Genomic DNA, 23,155 nt, shown 5'->3' on the forward strand with positions numbered 1-23,155 from the left:
ATGCCTGTAATCTCAGCACTTTAGGAGGCTGAGGTAGGATTGCTTGAGGTCAGGAGTTCAAGACCAGTCAGGACAACATAGGGAGACTCCATCTTTACAAAAAATAAAAAATTAGCTGGCCATGGTTAATCCTGGTTAGCACACCTGTAGTCCCAGCTACTTGGGAGGCTGAAGTGGGAGAATGACTTGAGTCTGGGAGGTCAAGGCTGCAGTGAGCCCACCACTGCACTCCAGCTTGGGCAACAGAGCGAGACTTTGTCTCAAACAAAGAAACAAACAAACAAACAGACAGACAAAACAGTGACTCTGAAATCAGAACTAGATTCCTAACCAGCTCTCTTATTTACTGGCTGTGAGCTTTAACCAAGCCATTTATGTGAAGATGTGGTATTTTTATCTGTGAAACGTGAATACTAATACAATACAAAGTACCTCATGCAGCTTAATAAAGAAGAACTACTTTTATTATTATAACTGTAATGAAACTATGTCCTTATTCTGTTGTATTCTGATAAGGATTTCCTTTTGAGATCATAAGCTCAGGGACTCATCTATGAGGAGGGGTGGTGTCTTCCATGAAGGGCTGGATATTTTTGATGATGATCATTCAGGGAAGGCATGTACCCTCAGTTAGGAAACTGAAATTAGACCAGAGAACTACCTCCCTCCCTCTCACTGTCCTGCATCTACAGCTCAAGGAATCCAGATACCCTTACAGGCCCTCCTGAATAGCAAGGTGGAAACAAGGAAGGGGCCACAAGCTGAAGATGATAAGCTGTACGGTGTAAACCAGATCGCATGTCATACAGGCAGCAGATTACAGCAGTGAAGGGTAGAAACCCTGAAGTCAGAACATCTCCCGTTGTGCATTTGAAGCATTAGAAAAGCAAACTCTCCTAGTGGAAGGTGAATTTCAGGACAGAAGGTGGGGTTTGGCGTCTGAGTGCTTCTGCCCAGGTGGAATGGGGCTTATTTCAGTAGATTTCCTTGCAAGTCCTTTAAACTTCTCGAAGCTTTCAGTTACATCTATTGCGCCTCGTGAAAACTCTAAAATAGGAAGTTTGGACATTGTTACTTCTATTTTTATGAGTTAATAAGTTTTAAAGAGATTACATGACTCGCCCAGGATCATGAGATTAGTAAATGGCAATGCCCAAGGAAAATCCAGTTTTTTTAAAAAAAAATTATTCCCAGTCCAGATTTCAATTATCTCCATATTAGGAAAGTAAACAGGGCATGAAGGATTTTTAAACTATCATTTTGCATTATTCCCACCACTTACCCTTTCCACTTCACTCACATCTTAGGTAACTGAGTCAACTGCATTCAAAAGAAACATTTTTGGGGGGAGAGGGGAGGGATAGCATTAGGAGATATACCGAATGTAAACGACGAGTTAATGGGTCCAGCACACCAACATGGCACATATATACATACGTAACAAACCTGCACGTTGTGCACATGTATCCTAGAACTTAAAGTATGATTAAAAAAAAGTAAAAATAAGTAAATAAATAAATTCCTTTAAACAAAAAGAAACATTTTCTGTGTTCCTCACGGACACATCACTGATGGCTGTCTGAACAGATTCAACTCACTATAAATTCAAGCATGCAAAAGGACATAACCTGTACATATCCACCTGGCTCCATAGAGTAATTAAGCAAATAAGTGTCATTGTCTAAAACTATGTGCTTGCTTTTCTGATTTAGCCCTAAGTTTATATATCCATGAGTGGGATCAAAAACGATTTTCCGATTCTAAATTTCTGAAAATCACGATGAGATGTTTAAGTGAAAAAATGCTTTGGCAGCATACAATATTACAAGTTACTCAAGTATTACAAGTTAACAAGTTACTCAAGCTATAGCTCAGAAGCCATATACATATATATGTGTATATATGTAGAGTATATATGTATATATACACATATATGTAGAGTATACATATACGTAGATGTATATATACTCTACATATATGTATACGTATACATATACGTATATGTATACGTATATGTATATATACATCTATCTATCTATCTATCTATATATATATATATATTTTTTAAGATGGAGTCTTGCTCTGTCACCCAGGCTGGAGTGCAATGCCATGATCTTGGCTCACTGCAACCTCTGCCTCCTGGGTTCAAGTGATTCTTCTGCCTCAGCCTCCTGAGTAGCTAGGACTACAGGCTTGCAGCACTATGCCCACCTAATGTTTGTACTTTTAGTAGAGACGGGGTTACACCATATTGGCCAGGTTGGTCTCGAACTCCTGGCCTCGTGATCTGCCCACCTCGGCCTCCCAAAGTGCTGGGTATACAGGCATGAGCCACCGTGCCCGGCCGCAAAATATATTCTGAGGAATAAAAATGATTGTAGTTAGTTTTCCACAGTCCAAAGCAAGCTAATAATATTTAAAGAGTTAAAAGTGTAATATAATCATCGGTCATGTTTCTACAACCAAAGAGAGTTGAAAGGAGTCAAATATCAGCATAATGCAGATAATGTACTCACTGGCATTGTGGGCCTTTATTATTTGGATAATCATTTTCACCTTGTGGAGACTTTTCCAGAATTATATACTTTTATGCCTAATCAGCAAATTAGGCAGTTGAAAAGTATGTATGAAGCAGCTAATATGTGCCCCAATTAGGCTAGGTAGTGTGGGTATATAAAAAGGGTTTATAAAGGGGGAGGCTCCTATTCAAACCTTAGTGGGGTCAGGAGATGCGGAAGTTAATTAACATATATTAAATATTTTTTTACTCACCCACACCTAGAGAAACAGTACTGTTTTAAATGTGCTGTAGGAGTTCAGAGAAATACTGATTAATGTGGTTTGGAATAAATTAAATAATAAAAAGCTTTGCTGAATACAGTTAGTTTAAAAAATATAAAAATATAGGGGGATTTGCAGAGAAATCTGTTCAACTCTTAAAATAATTTTTAATTTATATATGTTTATATAAGAATTCCATTTTATTAACATGAAATACTAGTACCTTTTTTTGGGGATGGAGTCTTGCTCTGTCATCTGGGCTGGAGTGCAGTGGCGGATCTCGGCTCACTGCAACCTCTGCCTCCTGGGTTCAAGCGATTCTTCTGTCTCAGCCTCCCGAGTAGCTGGGATTACAGGCGTGAGCCACCACATTCGGCTAATTTTTCTATTTTTAGTAGAGATGGGGTTTTACCATGTTGGCCAGGTGGGTCTTTAACTCATGACCTGAAGTGATCCACCCGCTTCAGCCTCCCAAAGTGCTGAGATTATGCGTGAGCCACCGCGCCTGGCCCAGTACTTTTACTGATGAAAAATGTAATGTAAAAGGAAGGTCTGTCTTACATACAATAAGTGCTGAATCTGGGTCTTTTTTAAAAAAAGTCATTGAGAAGACTTACTCCTTTCTTAAGTTTTAAGACATTTATTATTGCAAACAGAAAAATTGTACTAGATACCGGGGATATATAAACGAATAATGCCGTTTCTGTCTTCAAGATCTTACTGTTTGGTAGGTGGAAATAAAGTGAACGAACGAAGGCACTGCAAATCAATGTGGGAGGCTCTATAAGCATGGGGCCACAGAGGAAAAGGCTGAGAGGGAAAGCTTCAATGACTAGGTGACTTCAAAAAGGTCATCCTGGCCAGGCACAGTGGCTCACACCTGTAATCCCAGAACTTTGGGAGGGCCAGGCAGGCGGCAGATCGCTTGAGCTCAGGAGTTTGAGAGCAGCCTGGGCAACATGGGGAAACTCTGTCTCTACAAAAAATACAAAAACTAGCCAGACATGGTGGCGCGCGCCGCTCCTCCCAGCTACTTGGGAGGTTGCGGTGGGAGGGTCACTTGAGACCGGGAGGCGGAAGTTGCAGTGAGCAGAGATCACACCACTGCACTCCATCCTGGACGACAGAGCGAGACCCTGTCTCGAAAAACAAAAGACAAAAACAAAAACAAAGGTCATCCTGCAGGACAACCAGGAGGGCACAAATGTGTGTCTGTGGGAAGCTGAAATGTTGGCGGGGGAAAAAAGCAGGGAAAGGCATTCCAGAAAAAGGAAACTGTAAACAGCACACGAAAAAGCATAGTGAATGAATAGGAAGCCTGAGACCAAACTTAGGGTTTCCTACACTTATTTCAAAGCCCTTCATTATCTATATGGAAAGGGGGAGTCTTTAAACACAAATATTTAGATCATATTGACTGAGATTTAGATATAAATGAATGCTAATAATTACTTTTCGTTATTTTGGGGTGTTAAACATTTACTGTACAAGATTGTATTCGTTTTAAGTATCTTCTAACATGAGCCATTTTGTAATGATTCAGTTGTTTATATTCAATTTCAAGTAGAATGCTGATCACAGCGCCAAATGGGTATCTTCTACAGAAAAAGTTATTTTAATAAAGAAAAATATAGTCAGTTTTAGGATTTCCTGAGAGATTATAGAAACAATAAAAGCATTAAAACTGTTAAGTCATTAAATACGAGTACCTTGTATTTTGAAGGCTCTTAAAATTTAGTTTATAAATTGCTTTTACATAACATATGCACTGAAATACCACTTAAGATTAGTTTTGAAAATAGGTGTTCGTTTCAACCACATCATTAGGTATTTTATTCAAAGCTCTTTATAAAAAGAGCTTTACTATGTTCCAGTATAGTAAACTTATCCAGAAAATAAGACAAAAATTTAACTTCATGCTATAGCTGCAAAGTTTTCGGAAAGCGGGATTTAAAACTTCCATTGTAACTTTAACTAGCGGTCATGTCAAATTTCACAACTAAGAACATTTTAACGCATGTAATACTGAGCACAACATGGGCACGTTTTTGTTGCTATGAGAACCTTCTATTTTGTATTAGACATTGCAGCCTTGACGACGCAATGTTTGTGCTATTTTGCGCATGTTTTCCTGCAGCTATTCCTCTCCTCTAGCAATAGTCGAATGGCTCTGGTTTCCTCTTGCGCCCGGCCCAGTTTTTCCGTTTTAGCTTCGGTTGTCATAGGCTGTGCTGTCGCTTTCTCTGGGAAAGGACGGTGAAGACTGGACGGGAGAAACCGGGAGGGCAGGCGCGGCCGTTCTGCAGCAGCCGGGCCGCTTCCCGGCGGGAGGCGGGCTGCGAATGGGAAGCGGGAGGAGGAGGCCGGGCCGCGGGCTGGTTCTATCACCCCCTTGGGAGCCCAGCTCTTCACCTAGCTCTCCGGCGCTTTTCAAAATCTGCAGTTAACAACAAAAATCGAGCAACGCCACGTCGCACAAACAGGACAGGAGGGGGCGAGGGGTGTGTGCGCGCGCGTGCTGTCCCCAAATGGATGAGAAATAAGGGAAAGGAGGGGTTGGGGACCGTGTGATGAAGCAACATGCTAGGCCCGGGACAAGTCCGGCTCCGGCCTCGGGTCTGGAGGGACAAGGCCGGGGGCCGGGTGGCAGACGGGGCCTCTGGTCTTCCCCCAGCGCGAGGGTCGTGGCGCGAAACGGGGACAGGGCGCGCGCTCGGAGCCTCCTCCCCGCCCCGCCCCGCCCAAGGGTCTTCCTCCCCCGGGATTCAGAGCGGCCCCTCCTCCAGGCCAGGCTCGCCGCGGGGCGCTGAGCAGGCCGGGACACCGCGGCCGAGGTTATCGTTAGGCATCTCCCAGGCGACCGGCTCCGCAGCAAGATGGCGGACGAGAAGGACAGGGAAGGTAAGGTAGGGGAGCCGGGGAGCCGCTGCCCTCGCCGCCCGCCGCGACCCCGGGCTGCACGGGGAAGCGCCGGGTGGGGTGGGCCCTCGTCCATCTGGAGTTCCCACCCGCAGGGAAAGGGCGGCCTGAGGAGGGGGCCACCCGGCAGCAGCAGTCGCCCTGCCCCCGTCCCCGTAGCCCGCCCGGCCCGCCGCTCCGCCCCGCCCCGCCCCGCCTCTCTCCCCCGCCCCGCCCCGCCTCTCTCCCCTCTTCCCTCCCTCTTCTCTCTCCCCTCCTCCCGCCTTCTTCTTTCTCCTCCCGCCCTCTTCACCCTCTTCCCCTCCTCCCGCCCCGTCCTCCTTCCCCCTCCCTCGGAGGCCGGGCCTTGCATCCTGCGCGGGCTGCGCCGGAGGCGCCGGCAGGGGGTGCTGATAATGGCGTCGTTGTTCACGGTCGCGGGGAAGCCGCCGCCGCCTCCACACTCTCGCCTGGGGTCTCGGTGCCGCAGGCGCCACGCCCGTAGCTGTCCAGGCTGTGGGCCCCGGGGGGTGGCCTGGGTGAGGAGGAGTTCTGGCCGCCTGAATCTGACGGGATCCTCTGTTTGCGCCGAAACCCCGCGCTGGCGCAGCCTGATGGCGTTCGCGGCCACCATTTTGCCTCCTTAATGAGGACGCAGGAGGACGGTCTGGAGGTCACAGCCGCTGCCTCCGAGCTTCCCGGTCCTCCGAAATGCCTGCCCCGCCGCCGGCTAGCGCCGCGCAATTGGCCTAGTGTCTTGTCTTAAAAAAAAAAAAAGACACACACCCAAACAGCAATTTTAATAACGACGAAAAACCAAAACCTGGTTGAGATCTTGGAACCGCTGTGCGCCGGCCGGGCCTCTCCCAGGGGACCACCCAGCCCCGCGCGGTGGCCGCCTGCAGAGGCGGGACTGCGCTTCGAGGCTTAAGGTCGCCAGTTCGGAGGCATCGATGTGTTGTCTGTGCGGAGAAGCCAAAAAGTGATTACGTTTATTTGCAAGACCGTTCATGTTGTTTTCAGTTCATGGTATGATTAAAACCCGATCCTTTGTTACCATGCCCTTAGGTACTAAAAAATAATTGTGTTTGATAGTTGGCAGTCACCCAAAAATATCCAAAAAGCCATGAAACAGTAAAGGTAAACAAGTAGGAAGTGAAAATAATATTCGTCCTTTGTTTTCTTTCTGGAGTGCTCAAAACACCCTCTCAAACCATTTTTCTCAGCATAGAACCAAGTGTGGTCAGGTTAACAGCTAATATTTACAAGGGAAGAAACGAACCCTGAGATATTTAGTCACTTGTTCCGGTGATCACAGAAAATCGGCGAAGAAACACATGAAACTGCCAACGATCTCTCTATTGATAACAAGGATACCGTGATTTTTATGTAATATTAATCTGAGAAGCCAGGATTATTTTGTAGGTATTAGCTTTACGAAGATGCCCTTACATACAAAGAAAAGGATAATTTTAAAACTTTCCCAGAAAAATGGATGGCTTATTTTTGTTCTTTACCAAAAAAAAAAAAAAAAAAGCCATTAGGAGATAAACTAGCAAGGTAATTATGGATATTTATTTTCTTAAAAAAGACTTGGTTAGGTCAGCATGAGAAAAAACGCACTGGAGTATGGTACAAATACAGTATTTCTCGTTTTTTAAAAACTGAGAGCTTTCCTGATTTTTCAGCTTTTGAACAATTTTTTTCCATTTAAAGTAAATTCAGAGAAACAATTTTGTCGATAACTCATAGAAGTAATGACTGTTAAAAGCTGGATGCCATTCATTCAGAATACATATATTCAATGCCATTATGTAGATAAGGCATTCTACTTAGAACTTTGAAAGATACGAAAATGAAAGACATTGTCTTTGCTTCCAAGGAAGGTGAGATGAGTAAGGGAGATGAGAAATTTACAAATGGGAGGAAATAGTTAACTGGGCTGAGTAGTCTGGGTGCCAACCACTGTGCTAGGTGTGTATCCTTGTAGTCCGTGGACAGCAGCCTGGACATCACTGGCTGCCACCGACCTAATAATGAATCAGTCTTCATTTTAACATGTTTGTAGGTGATTTGTATGTACATTAACTTTCGAGAAGGCCGGGCGCGGTGGCTCACGCCTGCAATCCCAGCACTTTGGGAGGCTGAGGCGGGCGGATCACGAGGTCAAGAGATCGAGACCATCCTGGCCAACATGGTGAACCCCGTCTCTACTAAAAATACAAAAATTAGCTGGGCGTGGTGGCACGCCCTGTAGTCCCAGCTACTCAGGAGGCTGAGACAGGAGAATTGCTTGAACCGGGGAGGCGGAGGCTGCAGTGAGCCAAGATCACACCACTGCACTCCAGCCTGGCGACAGAGTAAGACTCCGTCTCAAAAAAAAAAAAAAACAAAAACAAAAAACAAAGTTCGAGAAGCACTCATGTGCTGTATCTCATTTATTGTTAACAGTTTTATGGATTAACTAATTGCAGTTTGTGAAGGGTATTATGAAATAAAGGCATTTTGTTAGAGGATAAACTAAGTAGAGACTCATTTTGGTGGTAAGATCTTTTTATGGAAATAGTCTATTACTATATTTGATTGTCAGCTACTGTATTTTGAATTTTCAGAAATTACGTCTAACCAATTAATCAGAATTGATTAAGTTTTGAGGATTCACTCAACTAAACTCATAAAAGACTGATGTGCAAACCTGAATGATTTATTAATTTAAATAAGGGTATATACATTGACTTGAAGGCTGATTTTGCCAATATACTAATATAATAATTTTGGCAATATACTAATATAATAATATACTGTTTTATGGGTACTAAGCTTCGGGTAGTGTGAATTTGTATTTCAGAAGTCATTTGATGACCGTGGAATCACACAAAAGAAAGGATAATTTTGAAGGATGTGTTCAGTACCCTCTAAGTTCCAAAAGATCTGGGACCATTTCTGATCTGTTAATACTGAGTGTTGTGCAGAGTGCTTGGAACGTGGTAGGTAATCAATAAATATTTGTTGAATTCAGAACATTTGAATTAATCAAAGACAGCTTATGAGATTTTAACCAAAGCATTCCTAGCTATTTTCCCCAAACTTATTCTATACCTAAAAGTACACAAAACTCGTTTTAGGTCTCTTTTCCCCTCTGCTTTACCGGTAAGATACATTCTTCTATTCCATCTGGCTCAACAAAACGTTTTATTTCACAGTGCCACGGTATTCACTAGCATGTCTTTAAAAAACAACTACAAAAAACCTCATTGTAGAAATACACATATGTTTTAAATAGTTCATCCTTAATATTGAGATTTCTAAAAGTTCTAAAGGGGGAATAAGTTTCAGGGTACCTATCCTATCCACTCTTCTTCAATATTTAGAGATTAACTTTGATAGAAGTATTGAGAATATTGATAAGAAAAATTACCTAAATTAGAAGGGGCTATTGTGCTCATAAAATTTTTTTCTAAGATTATGTACGTTGAAGTTGTTATACTTATTTGTAGCATTTTTTGCTTTCATACAGTATAATTTATTTTTTCATAGATTAAAAATTATACAGAATTATATTAGCTAAAAGTTTAACCTTTAGAACCAAATTATTTTTAAAACCACTTTTTTAACTGAAAGAAGAATGTTTGAAACGGGATGAGAAAAAATATTTTTGAAGGTTTATTATTTTTCCAAAGTTTCCTCAGCCAGAACATTTTTTGTTTTGTTCTTTCTTTTCCTTCTGTTTTGTCTGTTTAAATGGAGAGTCAATGCAATTGTTGATTCTTTGGCTCCTTAAATCTTATTGTTTCTGTCTCTTAGAGAATTTTATATAGGACTGGAAGGATCTTCTGTTTGTAATTAGACTCACGTCTAGGAAACAAACTGCTTAGTTATAAAATTTGAACTTTTGGCAGCCAGTGAGCTTTGGAAAGTAAGAACTTTTTAGTAAGCTGCAGATATTAAAAGCTCACTCTAGGATTTACTATTTTTGTTTCTATTAAAATATTCTTTGTTACTTTGCGTGCTTTGATAACATTGCTTGATAAAGTGCCTCTAATTCAATTATCACCTCCTAAATGGAAGAGGTTTTACAAGGTTTGTTGTTTTGTTTCTGATTTCCTTCATTGTGCCACTCTTTTGAAAACCCAACATTTGGAAATATAAAGTAAAAAACAGAAATTTCAGGTGCCTATTACTTTATAAAAAGGGTTCCCTTAAATAACGTCTTTGTTTTTTTTTTCTTCTTTTATTTTGAGACAGGGTCTTGCTCTGCTGCCCAGGCTGGAATGTGGTGGTGCAACCTCTGTTGCCTAAGCTGGAATGTAGTGGTGCCATCACGGCTCACTACAGCCTCGACCTCCTGGGCTCAAGCGATTCCCCCGACCTCAGCCTCCCAAGTAGCTGGGACTACAGGCGCAAGCCACCATGCCCGACTAATTTTTTTAATTTGTAGAGACAGGGTTTCACTGTGTTGGCTACGCTGGTCTCAAACTCTTTATTTTTTTTATTTTTATTTTTTTTTTGAGATGGAGTCTCGCTCTGTCGCCCAGGCTGGAGTGCAGTGGCACGATCTTGGCTCACTGCAAGCTCTGCCTCCCAGGTTCACACCATTCTCCTGCCTCAGCCTCCCGAGTAGCTGGGACTACAGGTGCCTGCCACCACGCCCGGCTAATTTTTTGTATTTTTAGTAGTGATGGGGTTTCACCGTATTAGCCAGGATGGTCTCGATCTCCTGACCTTGTGATCCGCCCACCTCGGCCTCCCAAAGTGCTGGGATTACAGGCGTGAGCCACCACGCCTGGCTCGAACTCTTGAGCTCAAGTGATCTGCCTGCCTTGGCCTCCCAAAGTGCTGAGATTACAGGCATGAGCCACCCTGCCTGGCCTCATAGTAACTGTCGATAGTATAGAGTGTAGCCTGTGGGACAGTACAAAGGTTGAGCTTTGAAGTAAGACTTGAATTTGAATTCCGTCTTCCCCAAGCTCTAATTATCTGATCTTAGCCGAGATGCTAAACATAAGTAGCTTCAAGTTCCTCAGATGTAAAGTGGGGATAATTATACCCCCAATATTTCATAATGTTGTAATGGGGACAATGTTTTCTTATTCATTTTTACATCCCCAGCACCTGCCACAGTGCCTGGCATCAAAGGAATGCTGAGGCCGGCTCACGCCTGTAATCCTAGCACTTTGAGAGGCCCAGGCAGGTGGATCACTTGAGGTCAGGAGTTCAAAACCAGCCTGGCCAACATGGTGAAACCCTGTCTCTACTAAAAATACAAAAAATTAGCTGAGTGTGGTGGCGCGTGCCTGTAATCCCAACTACTCAGGAGGCTGAGGCAGGAGAATCGCTTGAACCCAGGAGGTGGAGGTTGCAGTGAGCTGAGATCACACTACTGCACTCCAGCCTGAGTAACAGGGTGAGACTCTGTCTCAAAATAAATAAATAAATAAATAAAAAATACAATAAAGGAATGCTGAATAAATGGGAAAGAAAGTGTTTGGTACGTATCTAGTGAATTAGTAAGTATTAGTATCTGCTTAACATAAAACATAAGAGTTGGCCAGGCGTGGTGGCTCCTGCTTGTAATTCCAGCACTTTGGGAGGCCGAGGTGGGGAGATCACCTGAGGTCAGGAGTTCGAGACCAGCCTGACCAACATGGTGAAACGCTCTCTCTACGAAAAATACAAAAATTAGTTGGGTGTGGTGGTGGTTGCCTGTTATCCCAGCTACTCTAGAGGTTGAGGCAGGAGAATTGCTTGAACCTGGGGGATGGAGGTTGCAGTGAGCCTAGATCGCAGCATTGCACTCCAGCCCAGGCAACAGAGCAAGACTCCATCTCAAAACAAAAAAACAAATAAAACATAAGAGTTAAGAAAACTTTTAAGTCTTACCAATTGGGATCATGCATAATGCATTCCTGCATATTTCTGGGGTAATTTAATAAGTTTTCTTCCTGTTTTAGACCAATATAAATATCCGGTTAAGACTAAGCAAACAAGAAGACTAGCTTTTTGAAGCCTAATTTGTTTCCTCTTATTCAGAATAAAAAAAAATTTGAAGAAAAACTGGACTGAAATTTGTTTTTGCTCTGATATATAAAATTTACAGAAATGTCTCAAGAATAGTCATAATTTTAAAGATCAAATGGACAGTGAGATACTACCTCACGCCTGTTAGGAAGGCTATTATCACCAGAAGTCCCCCAAATAATAAGTATTGGTGAGGATGTGGAGAAACTGGAACCCTCGTGGACTGTTGGTGGCAATGAGAAATGGTGCAGCTACTATGGAAAGTGGTATGGCGGTTCCTCAGAAAGTTAAAAGTTGAGTTACCATGTGACCCAGCAGTTCCACGTGTGGGTATATATCCACAGTAATTGAAAGCAAGGCCTCGAAGAGATATTTGCACAACCATGTTCATAGCACATTGTTCACAGTAGGTAAAAGGTGGAAGCAAGCCAAGTGTCCATCAGCGGATGAATGAACAAACCAAATGTGGTATATACGTGTAGTGAAATATTATTCAGCCTTCAAAGGAGGAAATTCTGACACATGCTACCGCTTGAATGAACCTGAAAGACATCATGCTAAGTGAAATAAGCCAGTCAAAAAGACAAATACTCTGTGATTCCACTTACATGAGGTACCTAGAGAAGTCAAATTCATGGAGACAGAAAGTAGATTGCTGGTTGCCAGGGGCTGTGGGGAGAGGAGAATGGGAAGTTGTTTAAGGAGTGTAGAGTTCCAGTTCTGCAAGATGAAGGAAGTTCTGGAGATTGGTTGCCCAGCAGTGTGAAGGTACTTAACACTATTGAACTATATGGTTAAAAGTGGTTAATACAGTAAGTTTTACATTATGTGTATTTTACCACATTTTAGTAAATAGAAAATGTTGAGTACATTCAGAATGAAAGAAATGGTACATTGTTTTTCAAAGGCAATTTGGAAATTTGTATTGAAGAATAAATGATGATGGCTAGGCAAGGTGGCTCACATCTGTAAACTCAGCACTTTGGGAGGCTGAGGTAGGAGGATTACTTGAGACCAGGAGTTCGAGACCAGCCTGGGCAACATGCTGAGACCTCATCTTTGCTAAAAATAAAATAAATAATAATAAAGAAGTCGGGGGTTCCCTCTGTTGGCTTTGGAGCCCCCATCCCTCTGTCTCTGTACAGGGAAGCTTCTTCCTTCTCCTTTCTTGCTCCTTCTTGCCTGTTAAACTCTCTATTTCTTAAAACCAAAAAAATAAAAAATAATAATAAAAAGTGATGTCCACATGCTTTGAGCTTTAATATACTTCTGGATATTTATCCTTAGAAATATATTCTGAAAAGAATAAAAAATGCTCTAAGCACAAAAATGATCAACATAAAGTTATCTATAAATTTGAAAATATAGATAACATTTGCATGTCCAACTAATGGGGCATACAAAATAAATGGTTGTATGTCCACTTGTTGGGTTGCAGCCAAATATATAAAAATTATATGTGTAAATGGGTAAGGACACGTGGGGGAGCCCAGGAGATGATGATGATAGCAGGGTGATTAGACTTTTAGGGGCACTTATTTTTAAAATCTCATTTTAATGTCAGTTCTACAAAACTTTAAAAACCCACTTAAATATGCTAATTAAAAATTATTCTTACCCACTTGTGAAAGTGTGTTTACCAGATCCTGTACTTGACAATCCTTTGTAAACCTCTAGTATGGATTTTATAGATATTAAGACTGTAAAAAAGTAATTTTAGTTTTTATTTTTATTTTTTAAGAGATGAGATCTAGGCCGGGCGCAGTGGCTCACGCCTGTAATCTCAGCACTTTGGGAGGCTGAGGCTGGCGGATCGCCTGAGGTTGGAAATTCAAGACCAGCCTGGCCAACACGGGAAAACCCCGTCTCTATTAAAAATACAAAATTAGCTGGGCATGGTGGCGCATGCCTGTTATCCCAGCTACTCGGGAGGCTGAGGTAGGAGAATCACTTGAACCCGGGAGGCGGAGGTTGTGATGAGCTGAGAGCACCATTTTACTCCAGCCTAGGCAACAAGAGCGGAACTCCGTCTCAAAAAAAAAAAAAAAAGAGACGAGGTCTCACTCTGTCACCCTGGCTGGGGTGCAGTGGCTTGATCACAGCTCACTGTAGCCTCTACTTTCTGGGCTCAAGTGATCTTCCCACTTTGGCCTCCCAAGTAGCTGGGACTGCAGGGGCGTGCCACTGTGCCCAACTAACATTTTTATTTTTGGTAGAGATAAGATCTTGCTCTGTTGCCCAGGCTAGTCTCAAACTCCTGGCCTCAGGCAATCCTACCACCTTGGCCTCCCAAAGTGCTGGGATTACAGGCTTGAGCCACCACCTCTGGCCCATAATTTTATTTTTTTAAATGCACTAGTAAAATTGGGAGTTTAAAAACCTGGACTAGAATTTGGACATTGCCTTTTTTTTTATTCTTTTTAAGATTTTGCTTGTTAGTGTCAATTTATCTGACCTTTGGTTTGAAGAATTTCCATCTAAAGAGGAAGATAGGCAGCTAAGGAGACAATGATACAATAATGTGATAAGTGCTATGATAGTTGCACATGTATGATGATTGGGTGCCTGGGGAGAGTCACCTGATTCACACACACCCTCTTTAAATTATAGCCCCTTTTTATTCCCTCTCATAGCTATTTGTTTTTTTCCTCTTTCATACTATATTTTGTAATTGCCTGTAGATGTGTTGTTTGATGTCTGCTTCTCCTAGACTCTTAACTTCCAAAAGGATAGGGGTCATGCTCATGCATATACCCAGAGCATGGCATATAGCTCAGTATTTGCTGAATGTTGAATCAAAGTTGGCTTTCTGAAGGAGATAACCGAAGCTTATCTTTTTTTTTTTTTTTTTTTTTTTTTTTTTTGAGACGTAGTCTTGCTCTTGTCGCCCAGGTTGGAATGCAGTGGCGTGATCTCGGCTCACTGCAACCTCTGCCTCCTGGGTTCAAGCGATTCTTATGTCTCAGCCTCCCAAGTAGCTGGGATTACAGACATGTGCCACCATGCTGGGCTCATTTTTTTATATTTTTAGTAGACGGGGTTTCACCATACTGGCCAGTCTGGTCTCGAACTCCTGACCTCAAATGATCCGCCTGCCTTGGCCTCCCAAAGTACTAGGATTACAGGTGTGAGCCACTGCGCCTGGCCTAATTTTTGTATTTTTAGTAGAGACGGGGTTTCACCATGTTGGCCAGGCTGGTCTGGAACTCCTGACCTCATGTGATCCGCCCACCTTGGCCTCCCAAAGTGTTGGTATTACAGGTGTGAGCCACGACTCCCAGCCCCAGGCTTATCTTGAAGGTGTAATAGCACAGAGAACAAGTAGGGGATGGATATTTCAGGAAGAGAAGAAATAACATACTTGAAATTGTGAAGACTCAATATGGCCGAAATTTAGGATGGGTTAGGAGATGTGGGAATTTTTATTCTTAAAGCATTGGTGAGTGATTAAAAGTTTTTAACAAGGCCGGGTGCAGTGGCTCACGCCTGTAATCCCAGCACTTTGGGAGGCCGAGGCAGGTGGATCACGAGGTCAGGAGATCAAGACCATTCTGGCTAACACGGTGAAACCCCGTCTCTACTAAAAAAAAAAAAAAAAAAAAAAAAAAAAATTAGCTGGGCGTGGTGGCAGGTGCCTGTAGTCCCAGGTACTTGGGAGGCTGAGGCAGGACAATGGCGTGGACCCAGGAGGTGGAGGTTGCAGTGAGCCGAGATCACGCCACTGCACTCCAGCAAGGGCAACACAGCGAGACTCCGTCTCAAAAAAAAAAAAAAAAAAGTTTTTAACAAGATGGGAGGCTGAGGCAGGATAATCACTTGAACCCGGGAGGTGGAGGTTGCAGTGAGCCAGGATTGCACCACTGAACTCCAGCGTGGCTGACAGAATGAGACTCTGTCTAAAAAATAAAAATGAAAAAATAAAAAATAAAGTTTTTTTTAGCAAGAGACAATCATATTTGTTGTCTAGAAAAATCACTTGGGCAAGTGTGCTCAGTGGATTAGATGGACTCCAGGTTTGGGACTCCAGGTTTGTCCCAGTATAGTAGTCCAGAAAGATAAAACCCTGAACCAAAGTAATGGAAGTCAGGAATGAAACAAGGAGATAGGCTAGAGGAAATGGATAGATTTTGTAATAGGACAGATATGAATATTGAGTCAGGTCAGGGACACGGTTTCTGATTGGGTAACAAAGAATAAAGAGGAATAGTAGAGTTATGTAAATAATAGTTCTAGTCTTGCACATGTTGAGTTTGGGTGCCTGTGAGGCATTCAGGTTGAGATATAACATAGGCAGCACTGTGTGCTTGGTACCTAAATATCTGTTGAATGAAAAATGAGAATGATGTGTGTTGGATCGCTTGAATGTATTCCTCTGTAAGTGGTTGTAGTCTTGGGAATGGTTGAGAATGTCCAGAAAAAATGGATACAATTTTGTTGACTGAGGCCGGGCGTGGTGGTTCACGCCTGTAATCCCAGCACCTTGGGAGGCCCAGGCGGGTGGATTACCTGAGGTAGGCAGTTCGAGACCAGCCTGACCAACATGGCAAAACCCCCTCTCTACCCAAAACACAAAAATTAGCCAGGTGTGGTGGCAGGCGTCTGTAATCCCAGCTACTTGAGAGGCTGAGGCAGGAGAATCGCTTGAACCTGGGGAGGCAGAGGTTGCAGTGAGCCGAGATCACGCCATTGCACTCCAGCCTGGATGACAGAGTGAGACTCTCTGTCCCCACCCCACCACCCCACCGCCAAAAAAAAATGTTGACTGAAAGGAGAAGTGACTAGGATCAGAACTCTGGGTAAAAATCAGTAATTGAACAGAGAAAAATAACTTGTGAATAAGATTGAAAGCACAATTGCAAAATCATGGGAAAATGAGCAAATAGTGTCACAAAAGCCAAGTAGGAAGAATTTCATGAAGGAAGCACTTAAAAATGTTGGGAAAAACTCCCCAATGGTTAACATTTATAGAGCACTTACTCTGAAGTAGGCACTGGGCTGAATGTTTTACGTGTATTATGTCCTTTAATCCTTACAATAAATCTATGTGGTAGGTGCCTCTGTTACCCGCTTTCCACAAGTAAGGAAATGGAGGCTTAGATAGGTAAAGCAGCCTTCCAGTTTCAGCTCAAAAGGTAAGCGCTTGGAAGTCATCACTCCGGTTGCTCCTGGAGCCATAAACTGCAAGAAATATTTGTTAATTTTGACAAATTGGTGGAGGCTGCGTGTGGACTGTCATGAGAGTGAGAAACTCCTGGAGGCCTGCAGTCTTAGGCGGTCCCTCACACTTCCTCCGGTTTTACTCCTAGGAACCCCACGGGGTTATTCTGGTGAAGAGCCAAGCAAGGTTGGTTTAACAGGGGAAGGGGAAAGCAACGCTTTTGAAATATGCTAGTGCATTCTTCATAAAAAGGCCAATTTCAGTGGCCGCTAGTCTGGTCTTATCTCAACGGATGGAAAAAGCTGAAAAACACTTGTGAAGGTCACAGCCCATTGACACAGGTCCACTAAAAGACTGAGATTTCATCGTAAGTTGATAGAATTCTCCTCACCCATCCCTCACCACCACATCAACAGGAATACAACTCAGACCAACTGACAGCGGCTTGCAGCTGGAAGACCTACAAGGTGGAGACTCTATTTAAGGACAAGTTCTTAGGGAAGCCTGAAGAGGAATCTGGCACCTACAGCTACAGCAAACATTAAACACAGCCCTACTCCTAGCCAGATTGGGGTAAAGCCTCACACTAGTAGCTGATTACTATCATGTCTGGCTTCCAACAAAAAATGACAAGACATGCTAATAGGCAAGAAAAACAGCCCGAAGAGACAAAGCAAGCATCAGAACCAGACTTAGATATATGATAATGGGTGTTTTGTAATTATCAAGGAATTTAAAGAACTGTGATTAATATGTTAAAGGTTCAGGCCGGGCTTGGTGACGCATGCCTGTAATCCCAGCACTTTGGGAGGCCAAGGAGGGTGGGTCACTTGAGGTTAGGAGTGTGAGACCAGCCTAGCCAACATGGCAAAACCCCATCTCTACAAAAAGACAAAAATTAGCCAGGCGTGGTGGCGTGTGCCTGTAGTCCCAGCTACTTGTGAGGCTGAGGCAGGAGAATCACTCGGACCCTGGAGTCCATAGACTCAATGTGGCTGAGGAAAGAATCATTGAGCTTGAAGGTATGTCACTAGAAACTTTCCAAACTGAATTGCAAAGAGAGAAAAGAATGAAAAAACAACACCCAAGAACCATGGGATAATTTAAAAGGTGTGAAATAACATGTAATTGAATGCCAGAAGGAAAAGAAAGAATAGAGCAGAAGAAATATTTGAAAAAATGGGCTGAGCGGGCCCAGCACTTTGGGAGGCTGAGGCGGGTGGATCACCTGAGGTCAGGAGATCGAGACCAGCCTGGCCAACATGGTGAAACCCTGTCTGTACTAAAAATAAAAATACAAAAAATTAGCCAGGTGTGGTGGTGGGTGCCTGTAATCTTAGCTACTTGGGAGCCTGAGGCAGAAGAATTTCTTGAATCCAGGAGGCAGAGGTTGCAATGAGCTGATATCGCGCCATTGCAAGAGGGTGAGACTCCAATCTCCTAGGGAAAAAAAAAGAAGAAAATCATCTGGAAAGCTTGTTAAAACATAGATTGTTGGGTCTCACCCTCAGTAATCTGGAGTGAGGGGGTCTGGAAATTTGCATTTCTAACAAGTTACCACAGGATGAGCATGCTGTTAAGAAACATTGATCTAAAATTTAAAGTGAATTTTGCCATTTCAGTGTATTTCCTTCTAGGTTTTGTCTAGGCAGATTTGTATTTTGTTTTGTTTTACAAACTTGAGATGATATTGAATATGGTTTTATGTCCAGCTTTTTTCACTTACTATTAGAAACATTTTTTCATGTCACAAGTATTTCTTAAAGACATATAAAGGAGTTGCATTCATTATATTAGGTTGGTGCAAAAGTAATTGTGGTTTTTGCTATTAAAAGTAATCGGGCCTGGCGTGGTAGCTCACACCTGTAATTCCAGCACTTTGGGAGGCTGAGGTGGGCGGACCACTTGAGGTCAGGAGTTTGAGACCAGCCTGGCCATCATGGTGAAACCCTGTCTCTACTAAAAATACAAAAATTAGCCAGTTGTGGTGGCGCATGCTTGTAATCCCAGCTACTCGGGAGGCCGAGGCAGGAGAATCACTTGTACTCAGGAGGCGGAGGTTGCAGTGAGCCAAGGTCATGCCATTGTACTCCAGCCTGGGCAGTAGAGCAAGACTCTGTCTCAAAAAAAAAAAAAAAAAAAAGTAACCGGAAATACCGCAATTACTTTTGCACCAACTTAACCTAACATTAATACTTATGGTCACTATGATTTACTTAAGGTTTGTCTAACTGTTAGATATTTAAATTGTTTAAAAATGTTCTGTTGTAAATGTTCTTATACAAGGATTTTTTTTTTGACCCAGCTTTGATCCTCATCCTCTACCCACTTTGGAAAAATTTCTTTTTTTTCTGGAGAGACAGGGTTTCTCTCTGTCATCCAGGCTGGAGTGCAGTGGCCCAATCTTAGCTCACTGCAGCCTCAAACTCCTGTGCTCAAGCGGTCCTCCCACCTCAGACTCCTGAGTAGCTGGGACTACAGGTGTATGCCACCGTACCTGGCTAATTTTTTTGGGGGGGGGGAATAATTTTGTTGAATCCCATCTCTGGTGGGTCTTCCTAGTTACAGAGGATAACCCAATTTCCCAATTCTGTGAGTACCTTGTGATCCTTTTGTATTAATTACATTATTTCTCTCCAATTTTAAAGAAATCAATCATAGACCCACATATTGCCATTCAGAGCTTATGATCAGGATAAAATACAGATTTGCTTATTGTCTCTCTATCCTGTTACAGTGGAAATGATAGGAAACTAGATATTTTGTTTCTTTTGTTACTAAATCCCTGGATTTAGAAAATGTGTAGGATATAGTAATCACTGTAAATATTTGTTGCAAGAATGCAGGAACCAGGAGTAGCACATTGATGGCACCTTGCATCTTCTTATTAAGAGTAAATGTATTTTTCTGTGAATCCTTTTAAAATACTGAAAATAGGCTATGTGTGGTGGCTCACACCTGTAATCCCAGCACTTTGGGAAATTGAGGCAGGTGGATCACCTGAGGTCAGGAGTTCGAGACCAGCCTGGCCAACACAGAGAAACCCTGTCTCTACTAAAAGTATAAAAATGAGCCAGGTGTGGTGGCACACGCCTGTAGTCCCAGCTACTCGGGAGGCTGAGGCAGGAGAATCGCTTGAACCTGGGAGGTGGAGGTTGCGGTGAGCCGAGATCATGCCACTACACTCCAGCCTGGGCGACAGAGCAAGACTCTGTCAAAAAACACCCCCCCTTCAAAAAAAAAAAAAAACTCCCTCAATTTCCTGACACATACGTGTTTATCTGTACTTACTGGCTCCTTACAAAAACCTCTTACCTGGTTTACTTGTTTTCATTTATTATGCTGTAAATCTGGTTATTGGTTAATGAATTCTCTACCTAAAATCCTTAATGTCTTCCCATTACCCTTAGGATAGTCTGAATTCTAACAAAACAGACAAGGATGTCTTCTGTCTCCAGGGTTTTTTTTTTTTTTTTTTTTTTCTGATTACATGTGTGGTATCACCATTCACGCATTCTACACTTCATTATACGCTTCATCATAGAGAGCAATTTCTTTGTTGTTCCTGTAATGAAAGTGCTAGCCTGCGCACATATTGTTTCCTTATCCCAGACTTCATTTAGTAAATAGCATTGCTTAGTGGTTAAGAACATGAAGTCTGTAGTTAATCCTTATGGGCTCAAATTCTGGCTTTGCCACTTTAGAGCTGGATAACTTTAGGCAAGGTACTTAGGTGTTCTAATTTCTTCACATGTCAAATGAGGAGCATAGCAGAGCCTGTCCCATGTGGTGGTAAAGGATGTTGTGGAGAACTTCACATGCCGTAAGAGCTCTAGAAATGTTATGAGTCCTTACTTACCGTGTTAGGCCTGGTGCTAGATGTTGGGGAATAAAACAGATTTGGGCCCTGTCCTCTTAGATATTGCTGTAGAGGAGAGAACCATTAAAGAGTTACATAATTATTGGGCCAGGTGTGGTGGCACACACCTGTAATCCCAATACTTTGGGAGGCCAAGGTGGGCAGATCACTCGAGGCCAGGAGTTCAAGACCAGCCTGGCTAATGTGGTGAAACCCCCGTCTCTACTAAAATACAAAAATTAGCCAGGCATGGTGGCACACACCTGTAATCTGAGCTACTTGGGAGGCGGAGGCATGAGAATTGCTTGAACCCGGGAGGCAGAGGTTGCAGTGAGCCGAGATCGTGCCACTGAACTCCAGCCTGGGCAACAGAGGGAGACTCCATCTCAAAAAAAAAAAAAATACATAATTGTTATAAGCAGTTCAAAAAAGTTCAGGGTTCCACAAAAGGGACATCTGATTTAAATTTTTCTTTTTTCTTTCTTTTATTTTTTTTTCAGACAGAGTTTCACTCTTGTTGCCCAGGCTGAAGTACAGTGGCATGATCTCAGCTCACCACAACCTCCACCTCCCAGGTTCAAGTGATTCTTATGCCTCAGCCTCCCGAGTAGCTGGGATTACAGGCGTGTGCCACCATGCCTGGCTAATTTTATATTTTTAGTAGAGACGGGGTTTCTCCATGTTGGTCAGGCTGGTCTTGAACTCCTGACCTCAGGTGACCCGCCCACCTCGGCCTCCCAAAGTGCTGGGATTACAGGCATGAGCCACCATGCCTGGTCTGATTTAAATTTTTCTTACTTCAGTGGCTTTGAATGTGACATTTCCTCTACCAAAAACTACTACTAGTAACAGATGGAACTGCGAATTTACAAGCCTGAAGTAAGAAAGGAGCATAGCTTATTAGAGGAGTTGCACGAGGCTCCATTGTGGCTGGAATGGAGACATGAAGGTGGGAAGAATGGTGTGAAATGAAGTTTGAAAGTAGGCAGAGGCCAGGTCTTTGTGAAGACCAGGTCAGGGAGGCTGACTTCTATACAAGAGCAAGAGGGAGCCATTGGAGCTTTTTAAACAGGGAAATGATACAATTCATTATGTTTTTAAGAGGTCACTTGGCCAGATGTGATGGCACGAGCCTGGAGTCCCAGCTACTTGGGAGGCTGAGGTGGGAGGATTGCTTGAGCCTAGAAGTTCGAGGATGCAGTGAGCTATGATCACACCTGTGAATAGCCACTGCACTCCAGCCTGGGTAACATAGTGAGACCCTGTCTCAAAAAAAAAAAAAAAAAAGATCACTTGCTTGCACTGTGGAAGGGTGGAGCACGGCAAGAGCAGATAATGATGGTGGTGTCTTGGATTAGACAGCAGCGGAGGAAATGGCAGAGAAGGTTTGAGAGTCAAGAGAGTCTAAACGTTTTTGTGACTGGATGTGGGGACTGGAGGAGACAGGGATGAATGAACACCTTTCAGTCCAACTTCTGACTCTTGCTTCTCATCTTTATCTAAGGTCCATCCTCAAGTCTGAGGTGGGTGCCACTCTTGTGCCTCCGTAGGGCTGTCTGTGTATGTCACTAAGTTTTAGCACTGATCTGTTGTGATTTACTATAGCTGGTCTGTTTTCCTTTTAAGTTAGAATGTATTTATAGTAGATGGTAGCTGATCAACAAACATTTCATAAATGAAAGCACAGATTAACATAAAAGTAGATGATGATTGAGTACAGTATTTCTTTCTTTTTTTTTTTTTGAGATGGAGTCTTGCTCTGTCGCTCTGGCTGGAGTGCAATGGCGCGTTCTCAGCTCACTACAACCTCCACCTCCCGGGTTCAAGCAATTCTCATTCCTCCGCCTTCCGAGTAGCTGAGATTACAGGCGTGCATCACCACACCTGGCTAATTTTTTTTTGTATTTTTAGTAGACATGGGGTTTCACCATGTTGGCCAGGCTGGTTTCGAACTCCTGACCTCAAGTGATCCGCCCACCTCAGCCTGCCAAAGTGCTGGGATTACAGGTGTGAGCCACAGCTACGGTATTTCATTTTAAGCCTAGTGTTTTGGTGGTATATTGTCTTTGGATCAAGTTGTTTATGAAAAAAGAATTCTCAAAGAACTATTCCTACCACCTCTCTCCCCTGACCCCCCCAGCCAAAGGCCAAGAATTGGATTCTTGATTTTTTTTTTTTTGACAGCATATGTCTGGAATATGTATTGGTATTAATTGGGTCAAATAGAACAATAACATTATCTGTACTTTCAGTTAATTAACCTTGAGGGCATTTCTTTACCTTCTTTTTTGTATGCTTTAAACAGTTCCCATGGTAAGTATTCCTCTTGGGGCTTATTATTTTATCTTAATTTCTGTAGGTGGGATTTTGAGTATCTAATTAGATATTTAAATATGTAAACAGACATCTCCATGTTAGAAAAAACTCAGCTGCACTATTTG

General features: G+C 42.9%; 2 protein-coding genes and 1 long non-coding RNA gene across 21 annotated transcripts in view, besides 6 other annotated features; 1 reads left to right on the forward strand and 2 right to left on the reverse strand.

Moving 5' to 3' along the window:
- LOC124900416 (uncharacterized) lies at positions 443–5,809 on the reverse strand. Its single transcript, XM_054328428.1, is given in 4 exon segments — positions 443–1,047; positions 2,212–5,491; positions 5,494–5,563; positions 5,565–5,809. Coding segments are annotated over 3 exon segments (549 nt in total). The 5' UTR covers positions 5,777–5,809; the 3' UTR covers positions 443–1,047; positions 2,212–5,224.
- Positions 443–6,108, reverse strand: EFCAB2-AS1 (EFCAB2 antisense RNA 1). Its single transcript, NR_111907.1, has 2 exons — positions 6,051–6,108; positions 443–5,218 (listed from the first exon to the last, which is right to left on the reverse strand). It is a non-coding gene; the product is annotated as an EFCAB2 antisense RNA 1 (long non-coding RNA).
- Positions 3,271–3,775: an enhancer, noted in NCBI's record as "H3K27ac-H3K4me1 hESC enhancer chr1:245131334-245131838 (GRCh37/hg19 assembly coordinates)". NCBI's record gives its function as "activates a minimal SCP1, AML or CMV promoter by ChIP-STARR-seq in primed H9 embryonic stem cells {active_cell/tissue: H9 hESC(primed)}" and the evidence as "EXISTENCE:reporter gene assay evidence [ECO:0000049][PMID:30033119]".
- DRC8 (dynein regulatory complex subunit 8) overlaps positions 4,921–23,155 on the forward strand; it is a 155,548-nt gene continuing 137,313 nt past the window's right edge. For 8 of the 19 annotated variants that reach the window (XM_017002539.2, XM_017002540.2, XM_017002538.2 and 5 more), the window contains exons 1-2: positions 5,568–5,682; positions 7,748–8,666. In XM_017002539.2, coding sequence (XP_016858028.2) covers positions 8,538–8,666 — 129 coding nt within the window. In that variant the 5' untranslated portion in view covers positions 5,568–5,682; positions 7,748–8,537. Of the gene's footprint in view, positions 5,283–5,567; positions 5,683–7,747; positions 8,667–23,155 lie in introns of those variants that run through there. The other 11 variants (NR_026587.1, XM_047432067.1, XM_047432068.1 and 8 more) reach the window with 3 other exon arrangements.
- Positions 4,984–5,123: a silencer, noted in NCBI's record as "silent region_2024". NCBI's record gives its function as "represses an Ori minimal core promoter by ATAC-STARR-seq in GM12878 lymphoblastoid cells {active_cell/tissue: GM12878}" and the evidence as "EXISTENCE:reporter gene assay evidence [ECO:0000049][PMID:35858748]".
- Positions 5,394–5,573: a silencer, noted in NCBI's record as "silent region_2025". NCBI's record gives its function as "represses an Ori minimal core promoter by ATAC-STARR-seq in GM12878 lymphoblastoid cells {active_cell/tissue: GM12878}" and the evidence as "EXISTENCE:reporter gene assay evidence [ECO:0000049][PMID:35858748]".
- Positions 5,584–5,943: a silencer, noted in NCBI's record as "silent region_2026". NCBI's record gives its function as "represses an Ori minimal core promoter by ATAC-STARR-seq in GM12878 lymphoblastoid cells {active_cell/tissue: GM12878}" and the evidence as "EXISTENCE:reporter gene assay evidence [ECO:0000049][PMID:35858748]".
- Positions 5,954–6,043: a silencer, noted in NCBI's record as "silent region_2027". NCBI's record gives its function as "represses an Ori minimal core promoter by ATAC-STARR-seq in GM12878 lymphoblastoid cells {active_cell/tissue: GM12878}" and the evidence as "EXISTENCE:reporter gene assay evidence [ECO:0000049][PMID:35858748]".
- Positions 6,214–6,583: an enhancer, noted in NCBI's record as "active region_2849". NCBI's record gives its function as "activates an Ori minimal core promoter by ATAC-STARR-seq in GM12878 lymphoblastoid cells {active_cell/tissue: GM12878}" and the evidence as "EXISTENCE:reporter gene assay evidence [ECO:0000049][PMID:35858748]".

The sequence above is a fragment of the Homo sapiens genome, chromosome 1, assembly GCF_000001405.40.
Source record: "Homo sapiens chromosome 1, GRCh38.p14 Primary Assembly".
NCBI classification, from domain to species: domain Eukaryota; kingdom Metazoa; phylum Chordata; class Mammalia; order Primates; family Hominidae; genus Homo; species Homo sapiens.